Genomic DNA, 24424 nt, shown 5'->3' with positions numbered 1-24424 from the left:
CTCAGATGGTTCACCTGCCTCGGCCTCCCAAAGTGGTGGGATTACAGGCGTGAGCCACCACGCCTGGCCATAACTATTATCTTTGACAATTTTCCTGGGAGGTGGATGACAGGACCTGTTACTGACGCCAGTTTACATCTGAGATGCTGCAGTGGAGAGGAATTGGAACTAGAACCGACACTTACGGCTTCTTGTCTGGTGTACTCTCTGCTGTTCCATCTTCATTGCTTGTGTGCATGCGTGTGTGTGTGTGTGTGTGTGTGTGTGATGTGTTTATTTGACTCCTTGAATCTATGTTGTCTTGTTTTTCGTAAATGGATTAACGCCACTACCACGGATCATCAGGGAGATATGACGCTAGAGATAGATAAGCCAAATGGAGGTAGAAAATCCAAACTGAAAACAGGGAGAGAAGCTAAGATAGACCCAAGGAGTCTAACAACCCAAGTTCTAAACTAGAGAGAAGGCCACTGTTCATCTATTTCAGGGATGGGCAGTTATGGAAATAGTATGAACTCAGGCATCCCAAAGGCAGTGCAGTGTATGAGAGAAAGATGCTTGCATGCATACTCCCAGCAAAGCTCTCAGTGGGGCCCAAGATGCAGGGCATGGAGGGTAATAAAGATTAGCCAGGAAGGTGATAGGACAACAGATACTGAAAACATGGCAATGAAAAAACATCAGCATTCAGAGGTGAGAATTACCATTGCCAGAAGTTCTTGGGAAGTAAAACAAGTACAGAGCTATGGGTCAAGGATCTCACAGTTAGAGTACTAGTAGCAGTAGGGTGGACTTGAGTCTGTAGTTTGGGACCAGCTGCTAACTTAAAGCCTGGGAAGCTCGTGTTAGCCAGACATTACAGATACTTTTTATGTCACCTTGAACAAGCTTCACTATCCTTATATTTAAAATAAGGAGTAGGCCTATTAATAATCTGTATGTATTTCTTGCAGTAAGGAAATCTAATTTTGGGAAATGAATAGCAAGAACATAGCTTGGTGCAGTGAGTCAGTGAGAGGATTTACAAAAGGTGAACGTACACAGGACTCTTAATACTGATCCTGGGCTAGTCATGTCATTGCACATGACACCTGCTGTTGGAAGGAACAGGTTAAGCATTTAGTTGTGTGCAATGAACCTGTGAGCCCTGTGGGCTGGTCCCACTTATTTGAAATAGAACGATTGCAGTGCCTATGTGAGTCAGGGTACACCTGAATGTTTAGTTAGTGCTTTCCATTAACCCTTTTCAATTTTGCTTCTATGTTTTCTTTTCCTCCAGAAGGAAAATGAGCAGAAGGTGTGTCACATGCTCGCTTTTTATCTGCTGCGTAGTTCTTGTAGTGAAAGGATTGTCGATAAGTTCAGAAACCAAGACTACTGCTGCCTCCCCTTCATTCATTCAGTAGTCTTACAGCCTAAAGAAGACAAGAAAATTAAGGACTCTCAAGGCAAAAGGAAGTCAAATGAAATTGGGAAGTGGGTCTACAGTAAATGCAATATCTGTCGCTTTCTTTTAGAACTGCATAAACCACATGGAAATTTTCCGTGTATATTTGCTACCAAGGGATGCTATCATCTTTTTCTTTCCTTTTTTTTTTTTCTTTTTTTTTGGAGATGGAGTCTCGCTCTGTCACTCAGGCTGGAGTGCAGTGGCGCCATCTCCACTCACTACAACCTCCGCCTCCCGGGTTCAAGCGATTCTCCTGCCTCAGCCTCCCGAGTAGCTGAGATGACAGGCGCGTGCCACCACGCCCGGCTAATTTTTGTACTTTTAGTACAGACGAGGTTTCACCATGTTGGTCAGGCTGGTCTCTCGAACTCCTCACCTCGTGATCTGCCCGCCTTGGCCTCCCAAAGTGCTGGGATTACAGGCGTGAGCCACCACGCCGGGCCACTATCATCTTTTTAATTTAGGCACATAGTGCTCAGGAAAAGACAAGGATGATGGATGGTAATTAAGTAAATGAAGACAGCATTGGTCAGGAGGGCAGTATAAACAAAGTAAAATAGAAAGTCTCTTGTTCTATTTTTTTTAAATAATGATAATTATATATTTCTTACAGTCATATCCAGAGCTTACTTGAATCTAAAGCAGTATTTATCTTTGCAGCAAGCCTATGAATTAGCTTTACAGACTGTAGGATGCAGAGACCCTTGGATTAGAAAAGTTCAGTAACCCATGAGCAGAGGCATGAGAATGTTAAAACAAGTCACTAAAGGTCACATAGCATTCCACTAGCTGGGCTGTGGTTAGCACTCATGACCTCCTGGGGTCTCATCTTTTCTGAATCTTATTGAATCATGCCAGCTTTCTGATATGGTCCATAAAATGCTGATAGAAATCACATGTGAAGTTCCCAACTGTGAGGACAGCAGACTTCCTTTAGAAGATAAATACTAGACCTAATCTAATACACTTTATTTGACGTAGCAGAATTTCTCCTGCATCCTTATTTCAAAAGCATACCTGCCTGTGGTCTTCCCGGGTCTTAGGAGAGTCCATATGTCTGATGGAAGCAGACAATCTAGTGCTACTCAGAGAAACCACCACTTGATCCTCAGTTTTTTTGAGGAATTTCATGTGTTTTTATGTGAAGAATCACTCTCAGGAAAGTTCTGTATTTTGGTAGCAGAGATCCTGTCAAGAAGGCAGTGAGATAGATACACATAATAAGCTGTTCATCATTACTGCTGATGGAACTCTTCCCAGGCCTGCAGCTGACAGCATTGCATGGGACCTGCAGCCCCTTTCACCGTGACTGCAGATTCTTTGGTTAAGAGACTGTCAGTGGTCAAGGCTCTGCCCCGGCTTCTCGGGATCTTCACACTCCCCTGTGCATAGTAGGCTTTGGGTTATTGGCCATCATGAAAACCAAGATTGTCGTTTAATGATCACATCTATGGACTTGGGGTCGGAGGAACCTGGATTCACATCTTGGCTCCTCCACTGACTGGTAAGTTGCTTAGATTAGTTGCTTTTTTCCTCTCTGGCTGAATTTATGCAATTGGGAGTTTTAAAAAGTATCCACTAAATTCATTGTTGTTGTTGTTAAGATTTAGTTGTGTATTGTACACTACCTGGCATGTAGTGGATGTTTGGTCAATGGTAACTATTAAAATTATTGCAGATATCCTCAGGTATTATATTTTTGACAGGAGATATCTGATAGCCTGATTCGATATTTTATGTGGAAGGAAGAATTAAATACAGAAGAACCCTAAGACAATGCTATCTGTTCTAGAGAGTGTTTCGTTAAAGTTGCAGTGTTTCATAACGAAGCAGGCAGGACGGCCCTCTGCTATGCAGAGCTCTCCCGCTCATGACAACACAACAAGCACTCCCGGTTCATCCCTACCTACTCATCCCAACAATGTTTCCAAGTTGTTTTAAGGATTCAGAATGGCCCCACTCCTTTTCAGATGTCCCTGGGAGGGTAACCCCTGCCTTGTTTGAGAATCACGAGCAAGCATAGTCTGAGTTTGACTTCTGTACCCAAGTAGCAGGGCACCACCTCCCTCTCAGTGGCTGATGGAGAGGTCTTCCACAGTGAACTTTCAGTGAAGAAGTTCATGTCTCTCTACATTATCTGTTTTACTCAGCATTCAGAGATATGTGGTGCCTCCACAGGGGCCATATCCAGGCTTTCTGATGACCCTATAGGGAGCAATGGCAATTTAATGAGGAGGGGAAAAGATCAGCTTAACCTAGCTTCTACTTCATCCGGGTTCTCATGGTTAGTTGAGAGTGCTGATCCGTGACCACCATTGAGTCATTGATCTCCCGCTCTTCCTAGTCAATCTGTCATTCAGAGATTTGCTTGATCCCTTGTGCCAGATGCATGTATTTAACAAGCTAACATGCACTAAGCATCTGCTATGTGTCAGGTACTATTAGACGCATCATACTACAATGACTAAGACACAGTCCTTGTCCTCAAAGAAATAGTAGCCCTGGGAGTAAAAATGATATAGGGGAGGCTGGGCACGGTAGTTCACGCCTGTAATCCTAGCACTTTGGGAGGCTGAGGCAGGCAGATTGCTTGAGCCCAGGAGTTTGAGACCAGCCTGGGCAACATAGTGAAACCCCGTCTCCTTTAAAAATAATCAAAATATTTTTAAAAAGTGATTTGAAGGAGTAACATCCTGTTCATGTTCAGAGGCATTCAGCCTATGAGCCCAAGGAGTTACGCTCATTTCTCTCTATGTACATCTTTTAGTCCTAATATGCGTTTCTTCATTTCTTTTATTTTTGTTACCATTATACTCTTTACACAAGGTCCTTCACCAGAGACCTGTTATCAGTGTCAGAGACCCAGCCCTGGTGGCCTTGTGCAGCAGATCAGAATAACTCAAGGAGCTCCCACATTTGCTCTCCTGACTTTCTAGAGGCACACGATATCCACATATGTTAATGTATTGGTTTTATCATAGGTTTCTCCTTGCATTTCTTTCATGTAAAAGTGTTAAGAGTTCAGTCTGATCTGAAAGCAAAAGTTTAAGTTCTCAGCATAACTATTCTTACAATCTTGTGCCTTTGCAAATATGTTAAAATGTTCTCAGCCCCCTCCAGTCCTGAACTCCCCATTTTTTTATGGTTAACGCGCTGTCACCACTACCCAGCAGACTACAAAGCAGCAGCAAGTGCAATGCAGAGAACGCGATGTAGATCTTGTTCAAAGCAGCTGACATGTTGTCATCTCAGGAAGGGCAGAATGGCAAGGAGGAGTGATTGATGGAAACTTGATGGAGCAACCTTCACTTAATTATTTTTGCATAGATTCCTGAATTGTGGCTTCTTTGCTGGAAAAAATAATAATGATCCTGTAATGCAGACTGCTTTAGAGGCTGGAATGTGTCATCGTATGTGAGGATTACCACTTGCTCTTTTAGAACCCCAAGCATCTATCTCTACCTAGAAATTTTTTATCGTGAAGACTAATAGCCTTAAGGGTGAAGGAGAGGACAGAGACCCTAACCCAGAGTAAGATAGGAATGATTAGGAATGATTGTTGGTGATAATCAGATGAACACACTGTAGCCCTGTATCAGGAGAGAAAATGTGTTTGAGATTAGCACGTTATCAGAAAAATGTTTGCACTTATCTTATTCTTTGAATAAGTTGCAAGCTATTTCTCTTCTTTCACAAAGGCAAAGTAGTAAGCCAAACCTGTAATCAGAAAAATATTGATATGTTAGATAGAGAAAGTTATTTTTGTGTGTTTGTTTCAGTTGTTGAATCAACTGGTATGTATCGAGTACCTACTGCATGTAGGGGGATTGTAGAGAACTTTCAGCGTCAAGTTAGAGATTTTAAACTTTATCCTAGAAGTAAAACGAGAAATTAAGGCACTGAGTTAGAAAGGAGCTAGACCATGATTTCTCCCATATCTCTTGTGCAAATGGCACTAGCCAAGCCAGAAGCCCCTATGCTGTTCCTCCATGTGCCCCTGCCCAGCCATTCAGCAGCCTTGGTGCTGAGTCTGCCTGGGACATCTCCCCTGTCCGCCTCCTCTTCTCCATGCTTACTGCCCCTGCAGCAGGCCAAACCTGATGACAGCTCAGTGGCATTGCAGCAAGTTCCTCCCGACTGTTTGCCTTGCCTGTAGAACCTGGTCCCTTCTCATCCATCTTCTACTCTATGACCAGAGTGACATTTTTAATCAAAAAATGTTCCTGCCTAACCCTTCTGAGATTCTCCATACCTTCAAGAGATATCTTGGGGAGAGAAGGGCACTCGTTACCTCCTTCCTCCCCTCCTGGCATGCCATACTTGTGCTTCCCTGAATGTGGCATGTCCCCTTATGTGACTCTGCATGAGCTCCCTCCTCTGTCTAGACAATGTTCCCTCTCACATCACATGCAGTCACACATTCCTGTGTACTCTTCAAAACTCAACCCTGCCATCAGCTCCAAGGAGCCCACCCTAACTTTTCCCTCCTGGTCTCACTGAGCCACTCTGTGCTTCCCACCCATGAAACTCATATGTAAGATTTTTAGTGTCTGTTCTCTTGACCATCTCTGCACACTGGATACAGATGTATTAGTCTCTTCTCACATTGCTATGAGAACTACCTGAGACTGGATAATGTGTAAAGAAAAGAGGTTTAATTGGCTCATGTTTCCACAGGCTGTACAGGAAACATGGCTGGGGAGGCCTCAGGAAACTTACAATCATGGCAGAAGGAGAAGGGGAAGCCAGCACGTCCTACGTGGCTGGAGCAGGAGGAAGGGAAAGGGGAGGTGCTACACACTTTTAAACAACCAGATCTCATGAGAACTCACTATCATGAGAACAGAGAGGGAGAAATCTAAGCCCGTGATCCAGTCATCTCCCACCAGGCCCTTCCTCCAAACACTGGGGATTACAATTTGACATGAGATTTGGGTGGGGACACAAATGCCAACCATATCAATGGAGCTCCTTGAGAACAGGAACTGTGTCTTTTAGATCTTCTGTTTTATATGTCTGATGCATAGTAGGCAGTTGGTGATCACTCATTTGGTGAATGAAGTGTTAGGCTGAACTGAAGTGGGAATGAATATGAAGAGATACCACACACCTGCATTCCTTGCTATCTGTGCCATTTGTTCCATCTCATATCTCATGGTCACACCAGTCTGAGCAAGGTCAGATACTCTTTTTAGAGAACCTTCTGTGGCCTTATTCCATGTTCAGTTGTTTAATCACGATTACCTTTATTTTTGTATTGGTCCATGTCCTGAGTATTTTTTAAAGCATTGACTGTTGTGGATCCATGGAGAAGTCAGAGAAAACAGATGAAGCTCTCTGATAGGAAAAAGGATTGAATAATCTTGCCATCCAAACTGTGGTATCAAAATATGACTATATATGTTGCAATCAGGTGCATGCGTTTCTTGGCTTTCCTGGATGTGCAAAATAGAATTCAAGACAGGGTACAGAGAGAACACATTCTACATACCCCACATAACCTTGGCATGACTGTTTGGACCTTGCTGGTAAGAAGTGGCATTGGCTAGTCTTTTGTTCACAGGCTGGCAAGGTTGCTCCTGATTTTCTCTTTACACGGATAATTCCTTTACTGACCAAATCTCATGAGAGCAAAGTGAAGTATCCTGTAGCTGGCACTACATTCATGACCTTTTCTATGACAGGTTAATCATTTCTTTGTGTGTTCACTCACTGACCTTTACTTCATTGGCCAAAGGAGTGCCCCATGTCAAAGTAATGTCCTCGTTCCTCCATTCCATCATCCCTTTGGGGCAGAAAAGATGCTGTCTTACCCGTTTTTGTCCCCAGACTAGCTGGGTGCCTGGTGTGTAGATGTTAAATGAATAAATTGTTTAGGCAAAGCCGTTAGTAGCATGATCTAATGACCACAAACAGAAAAGTGTGTGTGGTGGGGAAGGGCAACTTATATTTTAAGAATTGTGTTTTAATAAGTGGTGAATTATTTCAGTATAAATCCAGTATTATCATTAATAATAGATAAATATATTGAGCATTTACCATAAGCACCATATTCTATCGCCTCTCCCATTACGTGAAAGACTAAGTTTTATAGTTTGAAAAGAAGGAAAATAGGAAATATATAACTACATTTAATATTATAGCATAAAGGGCTCAAGTGGAATGATGCTGGTATGACAGAGTATTCCCAACAGTCCTCCCAGTTCTTTTTACATTAATATAAAATGTTCCATGAATTAAAGAAAAATATAGCAAGTCATAAACATTTACAATTCTCTTTCCTCACCATCTAAGGAGGACAAGTTCTGTGCTTATTTAGCTTGCTATTCCTTGTGAGGTCAGAAAGGTCAATGATTAAACTTAGATTAGGCCAAATTCCTCCTTAAGAGAAGATATGGTGCGGGGTAGGGAGTGGGGAACATAAGAACAGCCATTATAGGGACCTGTAAGAGAGGAGGGCGAGATGGGAGGAAGAGCAATCGTCCTGGGAAAAGGGAACTTGGGACAGAGAGGAGTAACAAGGCTTTCAGGGAGTCTTTCTGAGCATGGTGCCATGCTCCCTACTCCCCACTTCCACCCTCCCCACTCCCCCCCTCCCATTCACCTCTGCCATCCAGGCCTTCCCAGGAACACTTGGCCAAGACTTGCAAGTTTATTTATTTTTTTTTTAGCTCATCAGCTGTCATTAGTGATAGTGTCTTTTATGTGCAGCCCAAGACAATTTTTCTCCTTCCAGTGTGGCCCAGGGAAGCCAAAAGATTGGACACCCCTGCTCTAGATGTGAGTCTTGGATGACCACCCTTCACTCTACCTAGGCTACAGTAACAGACGTTGAAAGTCAGCATCTTCATTGTTATGGAGGAATGGAAATGGGATAAACTATTTTAAAACAATTTTGGATTTAAAAAAATAGTTTAAATATTCCTGTTCTCTCACCCCACCCACCCCTAACTTCTTTGCATTATTAATTTTCTTAGCTAATCTTATTTCTAAAAAAGCAAAACCTTCCAAGGGAATTCTTTTTCTTTTCTTTAGGGAGAGAGTCTCACTCTTGTCACCCAGGCTGGAGAGCACTGGCACGATCATAGCTCACTGCATCCTCAAACTTCTGGGCCCAAGTGATGCTTCCACCTCAGCCTCCCAAGTTGCTGGGACTATAAGTGCACACCACCGTACCTGGGTATTTTTTTTTTTTTTTGAGATGGAATCTCGCTCTGTTGCCCAGGCTGGAGTGCAGTAGTGTGATCCCAGCTCACTGCAAGCTCCGCCTCCCAGGTTCACACCATTCTCCTGCCTGGCTATTTTTTTAAGCTTCTTGTATAGATGGGGTCTTGCTATGTTGCCCAGGCTGGTCTTAAACTCCTGGCCTCAAGGGATCCTCCTGCCTTGGCCTCCCAAAGTGCTGAGATTAGAGCCATAAGCCACCAGGCCTGGCCCAAATGAATTATTAATTTGTTTTGGGTAGAATTACTAATAGCCAATTACTAGTTAGTGGAACTTCAATTTGGGATGTTTTTATCTATTTGAATAAACTTTCATTCTGTATAACTCCATGTCTAAATCTATAAATGTAGACATACATCAGTATAGAAACGTCAGTGGCTCTTAGATTGGGTACTTTAATAATAACTCTCCATGACTGACCACTGGGGACTTCTCAAGGAGCAGGAGAAGTATCTACCAAACGTAGATACCTGAGAAATAGTGGAGTCTGCTGTAATGTTCACTGTGGATAACCTGACTGGCAGAGTTGTCCCTTCTGGAAGAGAGGCAGCTCAGGTCACTGTGTAAGGCACCTGTCTTAACTTGCAATGGGAATTTTGCAGTCAGGTGAGGGGCACAATATATGTGAAGAGGAAGTGAATGTTGTTGATAGCATCACATCATAATTAAATTCCAGCCACTGGATGATGAAGTCATTCCTTCACACACAAACGGCATTATATGCCTGTAATATTTTTCCAGGGCTGCCATTACAAAGTGCCAGAAACTGGGTGACTTAACAGACATTGAGTGTCTCACAGCTGGGGGGCCTGGAAGTCAGAGATCAAGGTGTGGGCAGGGCCATGCTCCCTGTGAAGATGCTCGGGAAGGATCTGTTCCAGGTCACTCCCTAGCTTCTGGTGGCTCCTTAGCATGTGGCTCTGTCACTCCAGTCCTCACAGAGCACTCTGCCTGTGTGCCTGAGTCCACATTTCCCCCTTTTTTTTTCATGATGGAGTCTTGCTCTGTCACCCAGGCTGGGGTGCAGTGGTGCGATCTCACTTACTGCAACCTCTGCCTCCCAGGTTCAAGAGATTCTCCTCCCTCATTCTCCCGAGTAGCTGGAATTATAGGCGCCCGCCACCACGCCAGGCTAATTTTTGTAATAGTAGAGACAGGGTTTCACCATGTTGGCTAGACTGGTCTCGAACTCCTGACCTCATGATCCGCCTGCCTCGACCTCCCAAAGTGCTGGGATTACAGGCGTGAGCCACCGCGCCCAGCCCACATTTCCCCTTTTCACAAGGACACCAGTTCTGTCAGATTAGGAACCCCTCTCCTCCAGGATGACCTCATCTTAACTAATTATATCTGCAACAACCCTATTTCCAAGTAAGTTCACATTCAGAGGTATTAGGGGTCAGGATGTCAATATATAAATTTGGAGGGACAGAATTCAGCCCATAACAATGCCTGCCAGTGGTAGTTTTTTGGGGGTCAGGGTGAGTCTAGTATCTGCATTTTCAACAGCATGCCTTTTTGGGGAGATGAGTGTCAAGCATTCACTGATTTGAGGTAACGGGGCCCTCTTGAGTCTGTGATGTAATCTCACACTCCCCTAAGAGCTATTTATGGCCTACAAGCCTGTGCACATTTGAATGCGCGTGTGCAGAAAAGACAATGAGCCAGACAGGCTTCTACACCCACTTAAGAGCACTCACATGGATCAGTCACCCACCCTGAATGCCACGTTAGTTTTGACATCTGAAATGTGTCTGGCATTTTCAGGCAGAGAAGGCTTTTAAAAAAAAAAAAAAGTCACATGGATGCCAGTTCCTTACTATCTCCCTAAAAGAGCCTAAACACAGAAATCCAGACACAGGAACTCACAAGAATATTAGATAATAAATAGCCAAGCTTCTGAAGAGGCCTGGAACCAGAGAATGATATTTAAGGGTTATTAAGCTTAATTTTTTGCACTGTGGTCTGCCTGGCATATAGTAGACACTCACTGAAAGTTTGTGAACAGATGACTAGGAGAGTCTCTGTTCCGTGGGTATGAATCTTAAAGATGCATGTATTCAGCCCCTTCTCCTGGCTTCTGTTCTAAGCAGAGGGAATCTGATGCCTTGTTTCTGCGCATCTGTGATCTGGGCAGATTACAGATGTCACAAGCCAGTGATGTACACCTGGATTGCATCCTGACCAAAATCAGGGAAGTACCCGCTGGCATGTTGAGGACCTCCTTTGAAGAAAATCCTGTGGCTAAACCAATTCATTGCCCTTGGGAGAGAAACATTCTATAGCCTGCTGGGTGGATGTGTACAGTCCATGTGGACCCACCTAAGTTTCCTATTTTGTTCCTTCTTTCTTGTTTTCCTTTCCTTCCTCTTTTCTTACTTTTTAAGCCACTTATTGAGTTTATCCTTTCAAAACTCATCTTGAGGATATGTTCAAAAATGACCCATCTAGAGCTTCCTGTACACTTCTTTGCAGAGTGAGTTGCTGCTGACTTATTTCTCCTTCCAGCGTCTTGCTGATGCCTCTGTAGAGTCATTTATTACCTGCGTAAGAGTGACCTCTACACGTGCCTGGTTCCCAACAAGACATGGAGTCTCAACTGAATTTTACTCATCTCTGTTTCCCTAATACCTAGTGCAGTACCTGGTTAGCACTTCCTGGATGTTCAGTGTATGGTTATTGAATGAATGAATGAATAAGCTGTTACTTTCTGCTTGCATAGCACTGTTCTAGAGTGTCATGGAGGACACAAAGGAATAGAATTGATAGTAGGTCATTCTTCAGTTGCGTTGCATCACAAGGGTAAAACGTGTACTTATTCAAAATAAGTGGCATAATAATAACTTCTTAAAATTTTTATTTTATTTTTCCGTAAGTTATTGGGATACAGGTGGTATTTGGTTACATAAGTTCTTTAGTGGCGATTTGTGAGATTTTGGTGCACCCATCACCTGAGCAGTATACACTGCACCATATTTGCAGTCTTTTATCCCTCTCCCCACTCCCACTCTTCCCCCTAAGTGCCCAAAGTCCGCTGTATCATTCTTATGCCTTTGCATCCTCATAGCTTAGCTCTCACATATCAGTGAGAACATATGATGTTTGGTTTTCCATTCTTGAGTTACTTCACTTAGAATAATAGTCTCCAATCTCATCCAGGTCACTGCAAATGCTGTTAATTCATTCCTTTTTATGGCTGAGTAGTATTCCATCATATATATGTACCACAGTTCCTTTATCCACTCAATTGATGGGCATTTGGGTTGGTTCCATGATTTTGCAATTGTGAATTGTGCTGCTATAAACATGCGTGTGCAAGTATCTTTTTCGAATAATGACTTATTTTCCTCTGGGTAGATACCCAGTAGTGGGCTTGCTGAATCGGCATCATAATAACTTAATAAGTCAAGAGGAGGTCTGGGCACTGTGCTCATGCCTATACTCCCAGCATTTTGGGAAGCTGAGGTGGGAGGACTGCTTGAACCCAGGAGTTTGAGACCAGCCTGGGAAATATAGTGAGACTTTGTCTTTACAAAAAAGTTAAAAAATTAGCCAGGGGTGGTGGTGTGCACCTGTAGTCCCAGCTACTCAGGAGGCTGAGGTGGGAGGATATTTCAGCCAGGGCAGTCAAGGCTGCGGTGAGCCGTGATTGCACCACTGCACTCCAGCCTCGGTGACAGAGTGAGACCCTGTCTCTAAATAAATAAATAAATAAATAAATAAATAAATAAATAAAGTCAAGAGAGGGGCCCAGTGGTGTAATGGAAGAGCACTGTTCATAGAATCTGTAGATTTGTTTTCTAGTCCTGGCTCCACAAGTTACATATTCTGTGCTCCTGGGAACTTCCCTTAACCTACATGAGCCTGAGTTTACTGATCTAAAAAGTGGGCCTAACGCCTATCTGAAAGAATTACTGGGGATATTAAGGGTATAATGTATATTATAAAGTGCTTGGTAAGTCATAGCATGGTATCTAAATCTAAGGTATGTTGCTTTTATGACACAAGGCAGTATCTGAGTTAGGACAGACCAGGGGAGTGGTACAATCAGTTAATGTTCTGAGTTGCTGGGTAGGAGTTAGCAAGTAAGGCACGTGCAAGAATTAGAACTTGGCCAGAGCTTTGAAGAATAAGGCCACCTGGCATAGACAAAGGGAAGCAGTGTGGCCTGAGTACCTGCACACAGGTTGTGGTGGGCCAGGAGGATATGAACGAGCCCCATGGCTGCCATAGAGGGCTGGTGGTGCCCGAGATGGCCCTCCTTGCCATGAAGTAGGCAGAAGGCGCTTAGAGCTCTAGTTTCCCAAATGGAGCTCAATTGCTTGTCATATTACATACACGTGCTGTTATGTGTGATGATGCTCTGTTCTAACCCTGAAAGACCTGGTGGAGCCTTAGCAAATCACTGGCCATTCTCCCAAACACTGCGTGTGCTTATGCTATGCCGCCATAGTTTTACAAGCATTTTTCAGCGTTTATGCAAATGCTGCCCTTCTGTCTTTGGTAACTGCTTTGCTCATCTTTCAGGATTCAGCTTACATCTTGTCTTCTCTGTGCCACATTCCTGTCAGCAGCCACCTCACACCACCCGCTCCTGTGCACACAGGCGTACAGAGATAGTCTTGTTCCTCTCTGCTCTTAGAGCACCATTCAGCTACCCCCAGTGGAGCACTAATCCCAGTGAGCTGTGATGGTTTCTTGGTGTCTGTCTCCCCGCGAGACCATGGGCTCTTGGTGAACAGCGGCTGTAGCCTGTTCAGCTCTGACCCTCCGGACCCTCATATAACCTGTATGACCCATGAAGGTGCACAGCAATGGGAAGGATGAGGGAAGAAGAAGGATCTTTTCAAACTCTGTACATTCTTCACACAGAAAAGCAGGCTCATATCAGCTGACTTGTTCTCCCAGGCAGAGAACAAGAGTGTGCCACATTCACTCCAGTTGAATGGTTTCAAACTTTTCTTCCTTTGAGGTGGATGTATTTTTGGCTTTTGGCAGTGTCTTAGTCCATTTGGACTGCTAAGCAAAATACCGTAAACTTATAAACAACAGAAATACATTTCTCACAGTGCTGGTGGCTGGGAAGTCCAAGATCAAGGTGCCAGCAGCTTCAGGATTTGGTGAGGTTTGATTTTTTTGGTTCATAGATGACACCTTCTTGGTGTGTCCTCACATGGTGGAAGGAGCAAGGTCGCTCTCTGGGGTCCCTTATAGATGGGCACTAATCCCATATATGAGGGATACTGAAAGTAAATTGATGGAAGTGCTCGTGTGAATGAATGAATGAATGAAACCATTTTGAAGCTAGATTGCTAGGTTCCTGCAGGTTATATCTTTGTATACTCCTTACCTTTCAAGAATGTCTGCAGCTCTCTGCATACAATAACTTCCTTGAGTATATATAACTACAGTATGACAAGGCTTTTAAATTGAACAATTCTAAAGACTGTTTTTTTGAGTCCAAAAAGTAGAATTTGGTATCAACATTAGGTTTAAAAGAAGTGATTTCAGAGTTTGTCAACTATTCAAGTGTCAGAAAAAAATAATGTAAATGATGTGCTTAAGACATTTATTTTTGTATTCTCGATTCTCCTGAAATAAAGGGAAATTGTCTTGAAAAGCTGTAGATTTTAAATGAAAAGGAAAGCGGGAAGGTGACATAATTTGCCTCTGCCTTTGCAGAAATTCAAGTGTATATGGCCTCTCTCCAATCCACCATTTTCCCACCTCCACAGGCCCCATGTCAGCTGTTTCCTTCATATCATTGCAATGCTTTGAGGGTGATTGTTGGTTTAAGCTACAGTCCCTTCAAATTTGTGAAAGACTAAACAGATTGATAACAACTCCACCTAGATTAAATGAAATTCTGTGGGTAGACAGGCTAGTCAAAATACAATCCCCACACACCCCAAGTGAGCATTGCTTCTCCTTTCAGATATGCTGTGGGTACAAAGAAAGGATTTAGTCCAAAGTGCCTTGGGGTTTTGTTCAGTCCAGAGTGTAATTTTTTTCTCTCTTTTGCCTATAGCCATTTCTGTAACATTACTGAAAGGGCTTTTTTCCTAATGAAGCATGAAAATTGATCGTATCTTGCCAGGAGAGTTCTTCCTAAGTCTTAAGATATTAAAGATTTCATGAGAACCGCATGAAGAATATCTTCTTGAATCATTTACATTTTTCCCTTTTGTAGGCTTATGTAACCATGCAGAAAATCTAATAATAAGTGTGCTATTAGTGTACCATGTGCCATCCCGCAGGCAGCTGTGCCATGGGGCACCAGTGCCCAGGGCTTGTGGATAGCATTAACCTGTACAACTTTCTAAAGTAAAGCCCAGTGGGAAATCTGTAGGTAATTGAACAGATAGTCCATTTTTATCAGACTTCCCCCTGCCCCTTCCCTGTTCTGTCTTTTCTCTTTTCTTGTGCCAGAAGGAAACACCTTGGCCATAGGCCTTTCATTCACAATGGAGTATATTTTCCAAAGCAAATAGCTTGGACTATTTCAATTCCCAGAGCAATCTAGGTGGGCACACAGAGCTAAATTTGGGTTTGAAAGAACTCTTAAATTAGTATCATAGGAAGGCAATGAGCAGGAAAAAAAAAAATAAAGATACAAGCATTGTGGTCTGATGGAAATTATCCAGCACTCACTTACAAATGACAAGTGGGTACCACCCAGCCTTTCTCATGTTCCAAAATTTAATAAAGGGTTCCATCTAGGTCCCCCAGAAACTACTGTGATTATCAGGGTGAGAGAAGGGGGAATGATGAATTTTTGTAATGCCCCAATCTTTGTAACCAGGCATAGAAGGACATTCGCTGGGCTCAGGATGGGTGTTAGCATGTAGTGGATAAAGGAATTGCAGAGTTGTTGACAGCTGTTTCCTCAGAGACACTTGTCCTGATGATATTTGCTTTGGATTCTAAGTAACAGAGCTGTAGTTCTTAAAGTTTAAATTGAAAAAAAGGAGTTTTCTGTCAAGTGGCTTAGTCATGGAAATCAGTGAAGTTAAGCTTGGGCAATAATATATCCTTTTCAAATCCAGGTGCCTTCCTGATCATGCCAGAGCTTTTGTGACTCCTTTCTCCTTGGTGTTCTTCTTTTGATGCGGCGATAGGGTCTGAACACGTCCAGGCTGTCTTTGCTGGGAGAGGGCAGAATGCCTCGGCTTTCTTCAGCCTTGCCTTTCTTCATTGTCTTCACCCTGCAGCACTTCTGCAAAGCTGCTGGGGTAGGTGGGTGAGTGGGCGTCTTTTCTTTGCTAGCCCAAGCTGAGTTCTGAAGGGAAGTTAGCAGGGCTCAGCTGCTGCCGCAAAGTCAGTCAGACCAATTCTCATTTGCATGCCTACAGAATTAGACATATTCAGGGGCTCGGGTTAATGCCATACCCTCCTCTTGTCCTTGGAAAACTGTAAGAATGCGTGCAGGTAACTCTGCAGCAATTCTGTGTTGCTCAGATGTATTTCTCTTCTTTCAGAATTCCTCCTTCTATAGCATTCCCCTAATATTTATGTGCTGGGGCTTTCTTCTTTCATCCCAGGCCCCAGCTTCGCTCTATATCAGACAGAGGTGGGAGCTGCTGATCAAGGGGGCACACTTGCCATCCAAACCTCACGATGCTCACAGGTGTCCTTTCAACCCTGCTAACCCAGATGATACATCACCATTTATACCTTTGGAGGCATTTTCTCTTTAATTGATGCTCACTTAGACCTAAGATTGTTCATTAAAGTCCAGAGGTGCTCATTAAAATGAACATTGGATAGTGTGGTAGATGCAGGTTATCATTATGAATCCAAGAAAGGGCTCTGTGGAACTTGTTATATACGGCATTTATAGGTTGTTAAATTAAAGGATTAGTGTTGTGCTAAACCATTTTCAGGTTAATCAGTTGTGGGAAACCAGATCTAATGTTAAAGCAGGCTTAAACTATGGTTTTTATAGTAGGGAAGTTTTTAAGCTACTGTTATTTCTAATAAACCCTCTAGCTTGCTAATCGAGCATACTTTTCAATTTTTGCACTTAACTGAATATGGTCTTGTTCCCTAATTTTTTTATGTGTGGGCTTTATTTCTTCAAGCTGGATTGTAAGTTCCTTTTTAGCAGGGTCTATGTCTTTTTTTTTTTTTTTTTTGCTCATATCCTAAAAGCTTCTGGTATAATTCGAGGTATATAGCAGATGCTAAGGATTTTATTGAGTGATTACTACATTTTTAGAGTGTCATTACAATGTATTATCACCTGGTTTATGCCGTGGTGCTTTATGTAACATGTGCCTATTTACAGAACATTGATATAACATGTTGGTCTGCAACCAGGTTGTTATCAGCAATAGGAAAAGCATTACAGAGTTCATATGGAAGTAGAGGAGAAACAGGTCTAATTTGGGTGTGATGCCCTGTATTAGTCTGTTTTCATGCTGCTAATAAAGACATACCCAAGCCTAGGTAATTTATAAAGAAAAAGAGGTTTAATGGACTCACAGTTCCACGTGGCTGGGGAGGCTTCACAATCATGGTGGAAGGCAAAAGGCATGTCTTACATGGCAGCAGGCAAGAGAAAATGAGAGGCAATCAAAAGGGGAAACCTCTTATAAAACAATCAGATCTCGTGAGACTTATTCACTACCACGAGAACAGTATGGGGGAAACTGCCCCCATTATTCAGTTGTCTCCCAGCAGGTCCCTCCTACAATATGTGGGAATTGTGGGAGCTACGATTCAGGATGACACTTGGGTGGGGACACAGCCAAACTATATCATGCCCTAACCTGATCAGATATGGCTTCCAGACTGGCCCCTGGAGTGGCCTGAATACCTTCACCAAGACACGTGTGTGGGACAGATCAAAAGTTTCCATCTGCCATTTGTCTTTCACTTGGTAACTGCTAATGATTGCTTGTTAACCATACACATTAATATGCCCGTGAAGCAGATAGAAAATAAAATAAGTAAAAAATTGTATAAGTGGAAAAACTAAGACCCAAACAAGAAATTATGGATCATTTCTAAATGGTGGCCAGGACGTTTATACGGAGAAACCATACCATTGAACCATAATCAATGTAAGAATACAACTGATGGTTTCAGACTTTCAGGAATAGAATGAGTCTCAGGCAGACATGTTCTCAGGCAACATGGCCTGGGACATCCCCAGAAACCTCCTCCATGGAGTTAACAGGACACCTACATGGCCCTATGTGTCCCTCCACTTGGGCCTCTTGTTCAACCTCGTATCACATGTCCCCTTCCTACCACATAAACTTCTGTCTCTACATTCTCTACTCTACCACAGGTTCATTTATTTGTTTGTTTGTTTGTTTGTTTGTTTGTTTGTTTATTTATTTATTTATTTATTTTGATACAGTGTCTCACTTTGCTGTCCAGCTGGAGTGCAGTGTGCAATCACAGCTCCCTATAGCCTCTGTCTCCCAGGCTCAAGTGATCCTCCTGCCTCAGCCTCCCTAGTAGCAAGGACTATAGACATGTGCCACCACGCCCAGCTAATTTTTACCTTTTTTTTGTAGAGATGAGTTCTCACTGGGTTGCCCAGGCTGGTCTCAAACTCCTGGGCTCAAGTGATCCTTCTGCCTCAGACTCCCAAAGAGCTTGGATTACAGACATGAGCCACTGTGCCCAGCCCACAGTCATGTTTTAAAGTGTCTGAGCTATAAATACTACTATAAAGGTGTCAACTGGTTGTATATGTGGGCCCTTGGCATTTCAGAAATGACAGTTATTGCCAACCATTACCAAATGGAATCCATTTTATCCAAATGGGCATGGTTGGGGCTGAGCATGGGATGGAGTAATGCAGTCTTATTGCATTTCAGTGTTAGAGGGCTTTCACTCGGTTTGCAGTTTCTCCACAGCTCACCCACCAATTCTACCTGTGTACTTCTTTTCTGTTCCCTCTCAACTTCTTTTCCATTCTCTCCTTCCTCTTGTTTCTGTCCATATCTCTGGCTTCTTTTAATTTCCCTTTTCCCTTCTTTCTTATTGGTCTGGCCCTGGGTCTGGTGAGACCAAGGGCACAGAAGGATACTGGCTCCATGCCAACCTTTCCTCCAAGGCACAATCTCCTTCTTGGCATTTACTGAGATGTTCAACTTCCTGTGTTTCTAATATTCCTTCCTGTTTTATAAAAGAAAAATAGATTGGATTTGCAAAGTGCCTTAATTTGTTGATTTTCTAAAAAGCAATTTTAAAAATGTGTATCAACAATATCACATACATGTAACTGATTTATTGACTCTGGCTTGCCCTGGGTTTAATCACACATAAAGAAATTTTACAATAACACATGATCCAGTAGAGAAAGAAGTCAAAGAAATATGTAAAGTCCTGTGACCTCTGTAGACATTTGGGATTAAACCAAATTAAAACACCTGTATGGGCTGGGCATGGTGGCTCATGCCTGTAATTCCAGCACTTTGGGAGGCTAAGGCAGGAGGATCACTTGAGCCCAGGATTTTGAGACCAGCCTAGGTACCATAGCAAGACCCAATCTCTACTGAAAAAAATAAAAATAAAAATAAAAATAAAAATAAAAATAAATAACCAGGCATAGTGGCATGCCTGTAGTCCCAGCTACTCAGGAAGCTGAGATGGGAGGATCACTTGAGCCAGCAGTTTGAGACTGCAGTGAGCTATGATTGCACCACTGCACTCTAGATGCAACAGAGCAAGACCCTGTCTCGGCTCAAAAAAAAGAAAACACTTGTATCAATTCAGGTCAAATATTGGTTTCTTTTTTTTAAGAGCAGATTAACATCTTGCATATCTTTTGCTATCACATTTCTTCTTATCTGACCAGCTGAAATGGAACTAGTGTTAAATACAAATAATAAAACCTGTAAAGATCCTAAGTTTTTGCATGGTACAATAAATCCTCACTCATTCACATGCTTGGAGAAAGTCCAGTCTGATTCAATTAATGAAAAGCAAAAAAAAAAAAAAATTGTAACTACATAATTTTTATCTCATGTATTAGCTCCTATTTAGTTCACATAAGTGTTCAAATAGGTACTCATTTTTAATTAACAAAATATTTGTGTGTAGTGAGTATTTTTAAACCAATTAAAACAGTTCCTTCTTGTAAGTAAATTAAGTGCTATTCTTAGACGATGGTATGCATCATTCATTTGCTTTGCAAACCATTCTTTCACACCATTCTAGTTGGTGTGAAAGCAAATTGAGCCCATCTCTACTGGAATTTATTGCATTCTCTTAATTTCTGACACTCTATGCTCCCAATAGTAGGGACTCCATCTTAGCCACCACGACATCCCAGGCATGGCTCCTAGAATAATTTCAGCTCTTTAAGACTCAATTAATATTTGCTCACTGATTAATATTTAGCTCCATTAATTTATGTGTCCAAATTCCTTACCATTTGCCAAGTGCTTTTGGATTTTACAGTTAGTTACAAACTGTAGTTTAAGGTTTTTCTGGCTTTACTTCATTCTTCCTTTAACTAGCTTTAAAAAACTAGTTTATAATTCTAGTTACAATACAATGTTAAGTGAAAGAACTGATTCAAAATTATATATTCAGAATTATTCTAACTTTGTAAACATGCATAGATATATGTGAGCTTTAAAAAAGAAAATTATATATATATGCCAAAATACAATCAAAATGTAAATAGTGGATATATCATGTTGGAGATATTAGGAGCAGTTTTATATTTTTTAAGTTTTCTGTGTTTCCACATATGATCACACTTTATTTTTATATCAGAAAAAAGCTATCTTAGTTGTGCATTGTACATTAGAAATATTAGTTTTGAAGATAACCTAAACACAAGTTTTTATTTCTTCTGTCACAGTTGCCTCTTTTCTTAAAATCGTGTTTGCCAGTTTCTTTCACGACACTGCAAACAATTTTAGTAGCTTCAGTTCTTTGATAAATCTGTAGCTTTTAGATCTTTGATTACTATTAGCAAAGAAAAGATAGACCCAAATGAAAAACAGTTGCATTTTTGAAATATGTCCGGCGGGGGTTGATGTGGAAAGAACAATTCCTCTCAACTCCAGGGTCAAAGCAGCAGCCCTGCCAGGCTCTGTCGGGGTCGCCTGGAGAACATCACTTAACTTTCTACATCAGTTCCTGCTTCTGGACATTATAACATTCATGATATCCACCTCATGCAGGATTCCTGGGAGGAGCAGATCAGATCATAATGTGTGTGAAGGGGCTTTGAACGACAGTCACCACATTATTACCACCATAAGCATTATTTCCATTTCAAAAATGGTAGAGGAGGGAAGATGCAGATGTTCTCTTTATGTTGGCTCGGCACCAGGCACGTCCAGGTTGTGCTGCTTTACCCTCCAGCATGAAGAGTTAGAAGGTAAATATCGATATTGCTTTTCATAACTAATAGCTTCATAGTTCATGTCAGGTGATTTCTTGGCTTCCGTTAGCATTTCAGAGACCATTATACACAGCAGCCATCCTCTGCAGAGCTGGAGAAAACTCATTTTTCAAGGCAAATAGTCCCAAGTCAGGGTTCAGTCCTGGTGGAATGAAATAAAGAAGGAGAGTTTATCTTTAAGGTAAGCTAGCATTTAAGTAGATGTTGGATATTATCAGAGATGCTTATGAGGGGCAGAGAGCATTGAAGACTTATACCCTTTGCACATCTTTAAATGCCTGTAAGTGCTTACCAGGAGCCAAGAGCGAACGGGTGGCTGCGTGCAAATGCTAGAGGTTAACCCCTGTCCATGGGCATTTACCGCATGAGTAAAAATTTATTGCAGAGTTCAGGACTGTGATTCTGCTGCTCATTTCTGTAGCGTATTTCTTTATCTGAAAGGATGCCCATTGTCCTTTCTAGCTTTTTGGGCCATAACCGTGAGGGAAGGCCCAAAGGAAGAACCTCTGTTGGAGATCAGGTTTATTCATCCATGTGGGTGGAGGTACGAAGGAGGGAAGAACCTCTGTTGGATATCGGGTTTCTTTGTCTGTGTGGGTTGGAGACTAGTAGAATAGGGGAAACCACATACTGCCCATTCCTCCAGGATCATTTTCCATTTGGATATTTAGAAAGCAACAAGAGAGGAGTTTTAGAAGACAAGGTAGATGATTTCAAGTTACTTTAACATAGAGGAAGAAAGTTTCCTTCTATTTTTAATGGCTAGTGCATGATTTGTGGGAGTGAAGATTGGGAGGGGGCACGGACGAACACCAGGAAGAGGCGGTTAATTTATTGGTCCCCATTAATTGAATTTAATAAGTGAGTTTTGTCAGTTTAGCAATATCCATTAGTTTCAGAGAGTGTTTCAGTATTATTCTGTAAAAGCATCCAGGGATATATTTTACAGCTACAGCATAGATTATCTTGCACACATATTGAAGTAAAGATACCTTTCAACATTCCAGATACTGACTTTTCACCCAAATTTGAAAATCTCCATTTAGCACTTTCTAAAATACCAGTGAAAATTAATATAGTTTTGTAGATTTATGTACTAAGATGCAGATTAAGACATGTGGAATCTAATGAACATAGCAGGAAAAGAAAATTTTCTCAAGTCTGTTCATTACTATTCCTCATCACATTTTTTATTATTTAATAGCTTATTCCTTGAATATGTGTGACTTGGGATTAGATGTGCCAGTTGGAAGACCTCAGAGGTTCAGAAATTCACAGACATGTGAAATATAAAACCGTATTCATTTAGCAGATACTGATAGGCATATAAAATAGAACCTTCATCATCTATCTTTAGAAAAAGAAGATTAAACAGAAGTGTAATTAATTTGCCAACTCTGCTTCCCGATTGAGACATTTATCAAAGTTGATCTTTAATCATTAGTTTCCTAATCTGTAAAATGAAGTCTATTATGACCTCTAAGGTCTATTTGTAACAGTTAGGATTAGGTTCAGTTCCATATCACCAAAAAAAAAAAAAAAAAAAAAAAAGAAGAAGAAGTCAAGCCAAAGAAATAGACATTTATTTTTCTCTCACATAAAAGTGGTTTTGAGAGGTAAGCAGTCCAGGGTGATTATGGTCACTGCACAGGCTCAGAAACATTGTCACCTTTCTATTCTGCCATGCTGTAGTATATTTCTTTTCTTTTCTTTCTTTTTTTTTTTGAGACAGATTCTTGCTCTGTCTCCCAGGCTGGAGTGCAGTGGCATGATTTCAGCTCACTGCAACCTCTTCCTCTTGGGTTCGAGCAATTGTCCTGCCTCAGGCTCCCGAGTAACTGGGACTACAGGTGCGCACCAACATGTCTGGCTAATTTTTATGTATTTTTTAGTAGAGACAGGGTTTCACATGTTGGCCAAGCTGGTCTCGAACTCCTGACCTCAAGTGATGCACCCGCCTCAGCCTATGTCTCACATACAAGATGGCTGCATAGCTCTAGCCTTTAACATTACCATTCCAGAAAGCAGAAAGGAGGAAGAGACGAAGGACCTACCCCCTTTCCAAAGACACTTGCCAGAGGAACCATACCACATTTTTGTTTACTTCATGTCAACAAGAATTTAGTCTAGGCATACCTAGCTGCAAGGCTAGGCATACCTTCTTGCAAGTCTAGGCATACCTTCTTGCAAGGCAAGAAGAAGATCAGGTCATTCAGTTGGGCAGCAATGTGTCTACCTCAAAACCAAGGTTTCTACTTCTAAGGAAAAGAAGGAAAGTGGGATATTGGGGTAAGCAACAATTATCCACAGGTTTTGAGCTCAAAAAGCCGTGATCGCATGTTTCTGGGAAAATTTGACCTATACAATCGAGTCTGAATGTGTGCTGGGTGTGTACAAATCAGACAACTTCAACTGTGAGCCTTCATTAGCTCTCCCCTTTATCTAGACTTAGGATTGTATTTCCAGGCATAGGTCAGAATCTTTACACTGATTGTGTGTGTGTCTGTATGTGTGTGTGTGTGTGTGTGTGTGAGAGAGAGAGAGAGAGAGAGAGAGAGAGAAACAGAATCTTGGCTGCAAGATGTGCTGAATATAAACACAATAACTTAGCAATTTATAACTGCCCCTTTCCCATCTCTGCCCCCTCCCCAGTATCAGCATACGCAGTGTTACCCCCACACTATCAATATGTCAATGATTAATAGCAACTGGCAAATGTGTGCTTTCCATGAGACTTGTATGCAAGGTTACTCGGGTTCACAGAGGCTGCTAATAACAGCAGCACTATTGAATTATGCTATGTGTCTGTGTCTGTTAAGACAGGTCGGAGGACAGGGGAGGAAACTTCCCCCAGGGTAATTGAGAGACAAAGTCACTAAAAGCTACAGATCTCCAGTTTGGGCTCTATGCATGAGATTGTTCTTAAAAGTCAAAGAAATATAAAAGGAAATTGCACATTTGTAATTTTTTTAAGTTCCCCATTTCATAGCTCATTAAAACCAGGACTTTAATATTCTGGGTCAGAACCCCCATTGGATATTTTTGTGAACATGTAACATGTGGGTTGATTAGAGGTTTGGGCCTGTTTTTTTCTTTTTCTTTTTTTTTTTTTTTCAGACAGAGTCTCACTCTGTCACCCAGGCTGGAGTGTAGTGGTGTAGTCTCGGCTCACTGCAACCTCCACCTCCCGGGTTCAAGTGATTCTCCTGTCTCAGCCTCCCGAGTAGCTGGGATTACAGGTGCCCGCCATCATGCCCGGCTAATTTTTGTATTTTTAATAGAGAAGGGGTTTCAATATGTTGGCTAGTCTGGTCTCCAACACCTGACCTCAAGTGATCCACCTGCCTCGGCCTCCCAAAGTGCTGGGATTA

At 42.0% G+C, this 24424-nt stretch overlaps 1 protein-coding gene across 3 annotated transcripts in view, besides 1 other annotated feature; it reads left to right on the top strand.

Moving 5' to 3' along the window:
* The window catches only part of ATXN1 (ataxin 1), a 462349-nt gene that overhangs the window by 370513 nt on the left and 67412 nt on the right, over positions 1-24424 (top strand). The gene's annotated exons all lie outside the window — the stretch shown is intronic.
* Positions 3632-3845: a silencer, noted in NCBI's record as "fragment chr6:16387334-16387547 (GRCh37/hg19 assembly coordinates)". NCBI's record gives its function as "represses an EF-1alpha promoter that drives an FKBP-Casp9 reporter gene in an ReSE screen in HepG2 liver carcinoma cells {active_cell/tissue: HepG2}" and the evidence as "EXISTENCE:reporter gene assay evidence [ECO:0000049][PMID:32094911]".

This window comes from Homo sapiens, chromosome 6 (genome assembly GCF_000001405.40).
Source record: "Homo sapiens chromosome 6, GRCh38.p14 Primary Assembly".
NCBI classification, from domain to species: domain Eukaryota; kingdom Metazoa; phylum Chordata; class Mammalia; order Primates; family Hominidae; genus Homo; species Homo sapiens.
The sequence above is the reverse complement of the archived record's forward strand: the minus strand, read 5'-3'. Positions and strand labels throughout refer to the sequence as shown.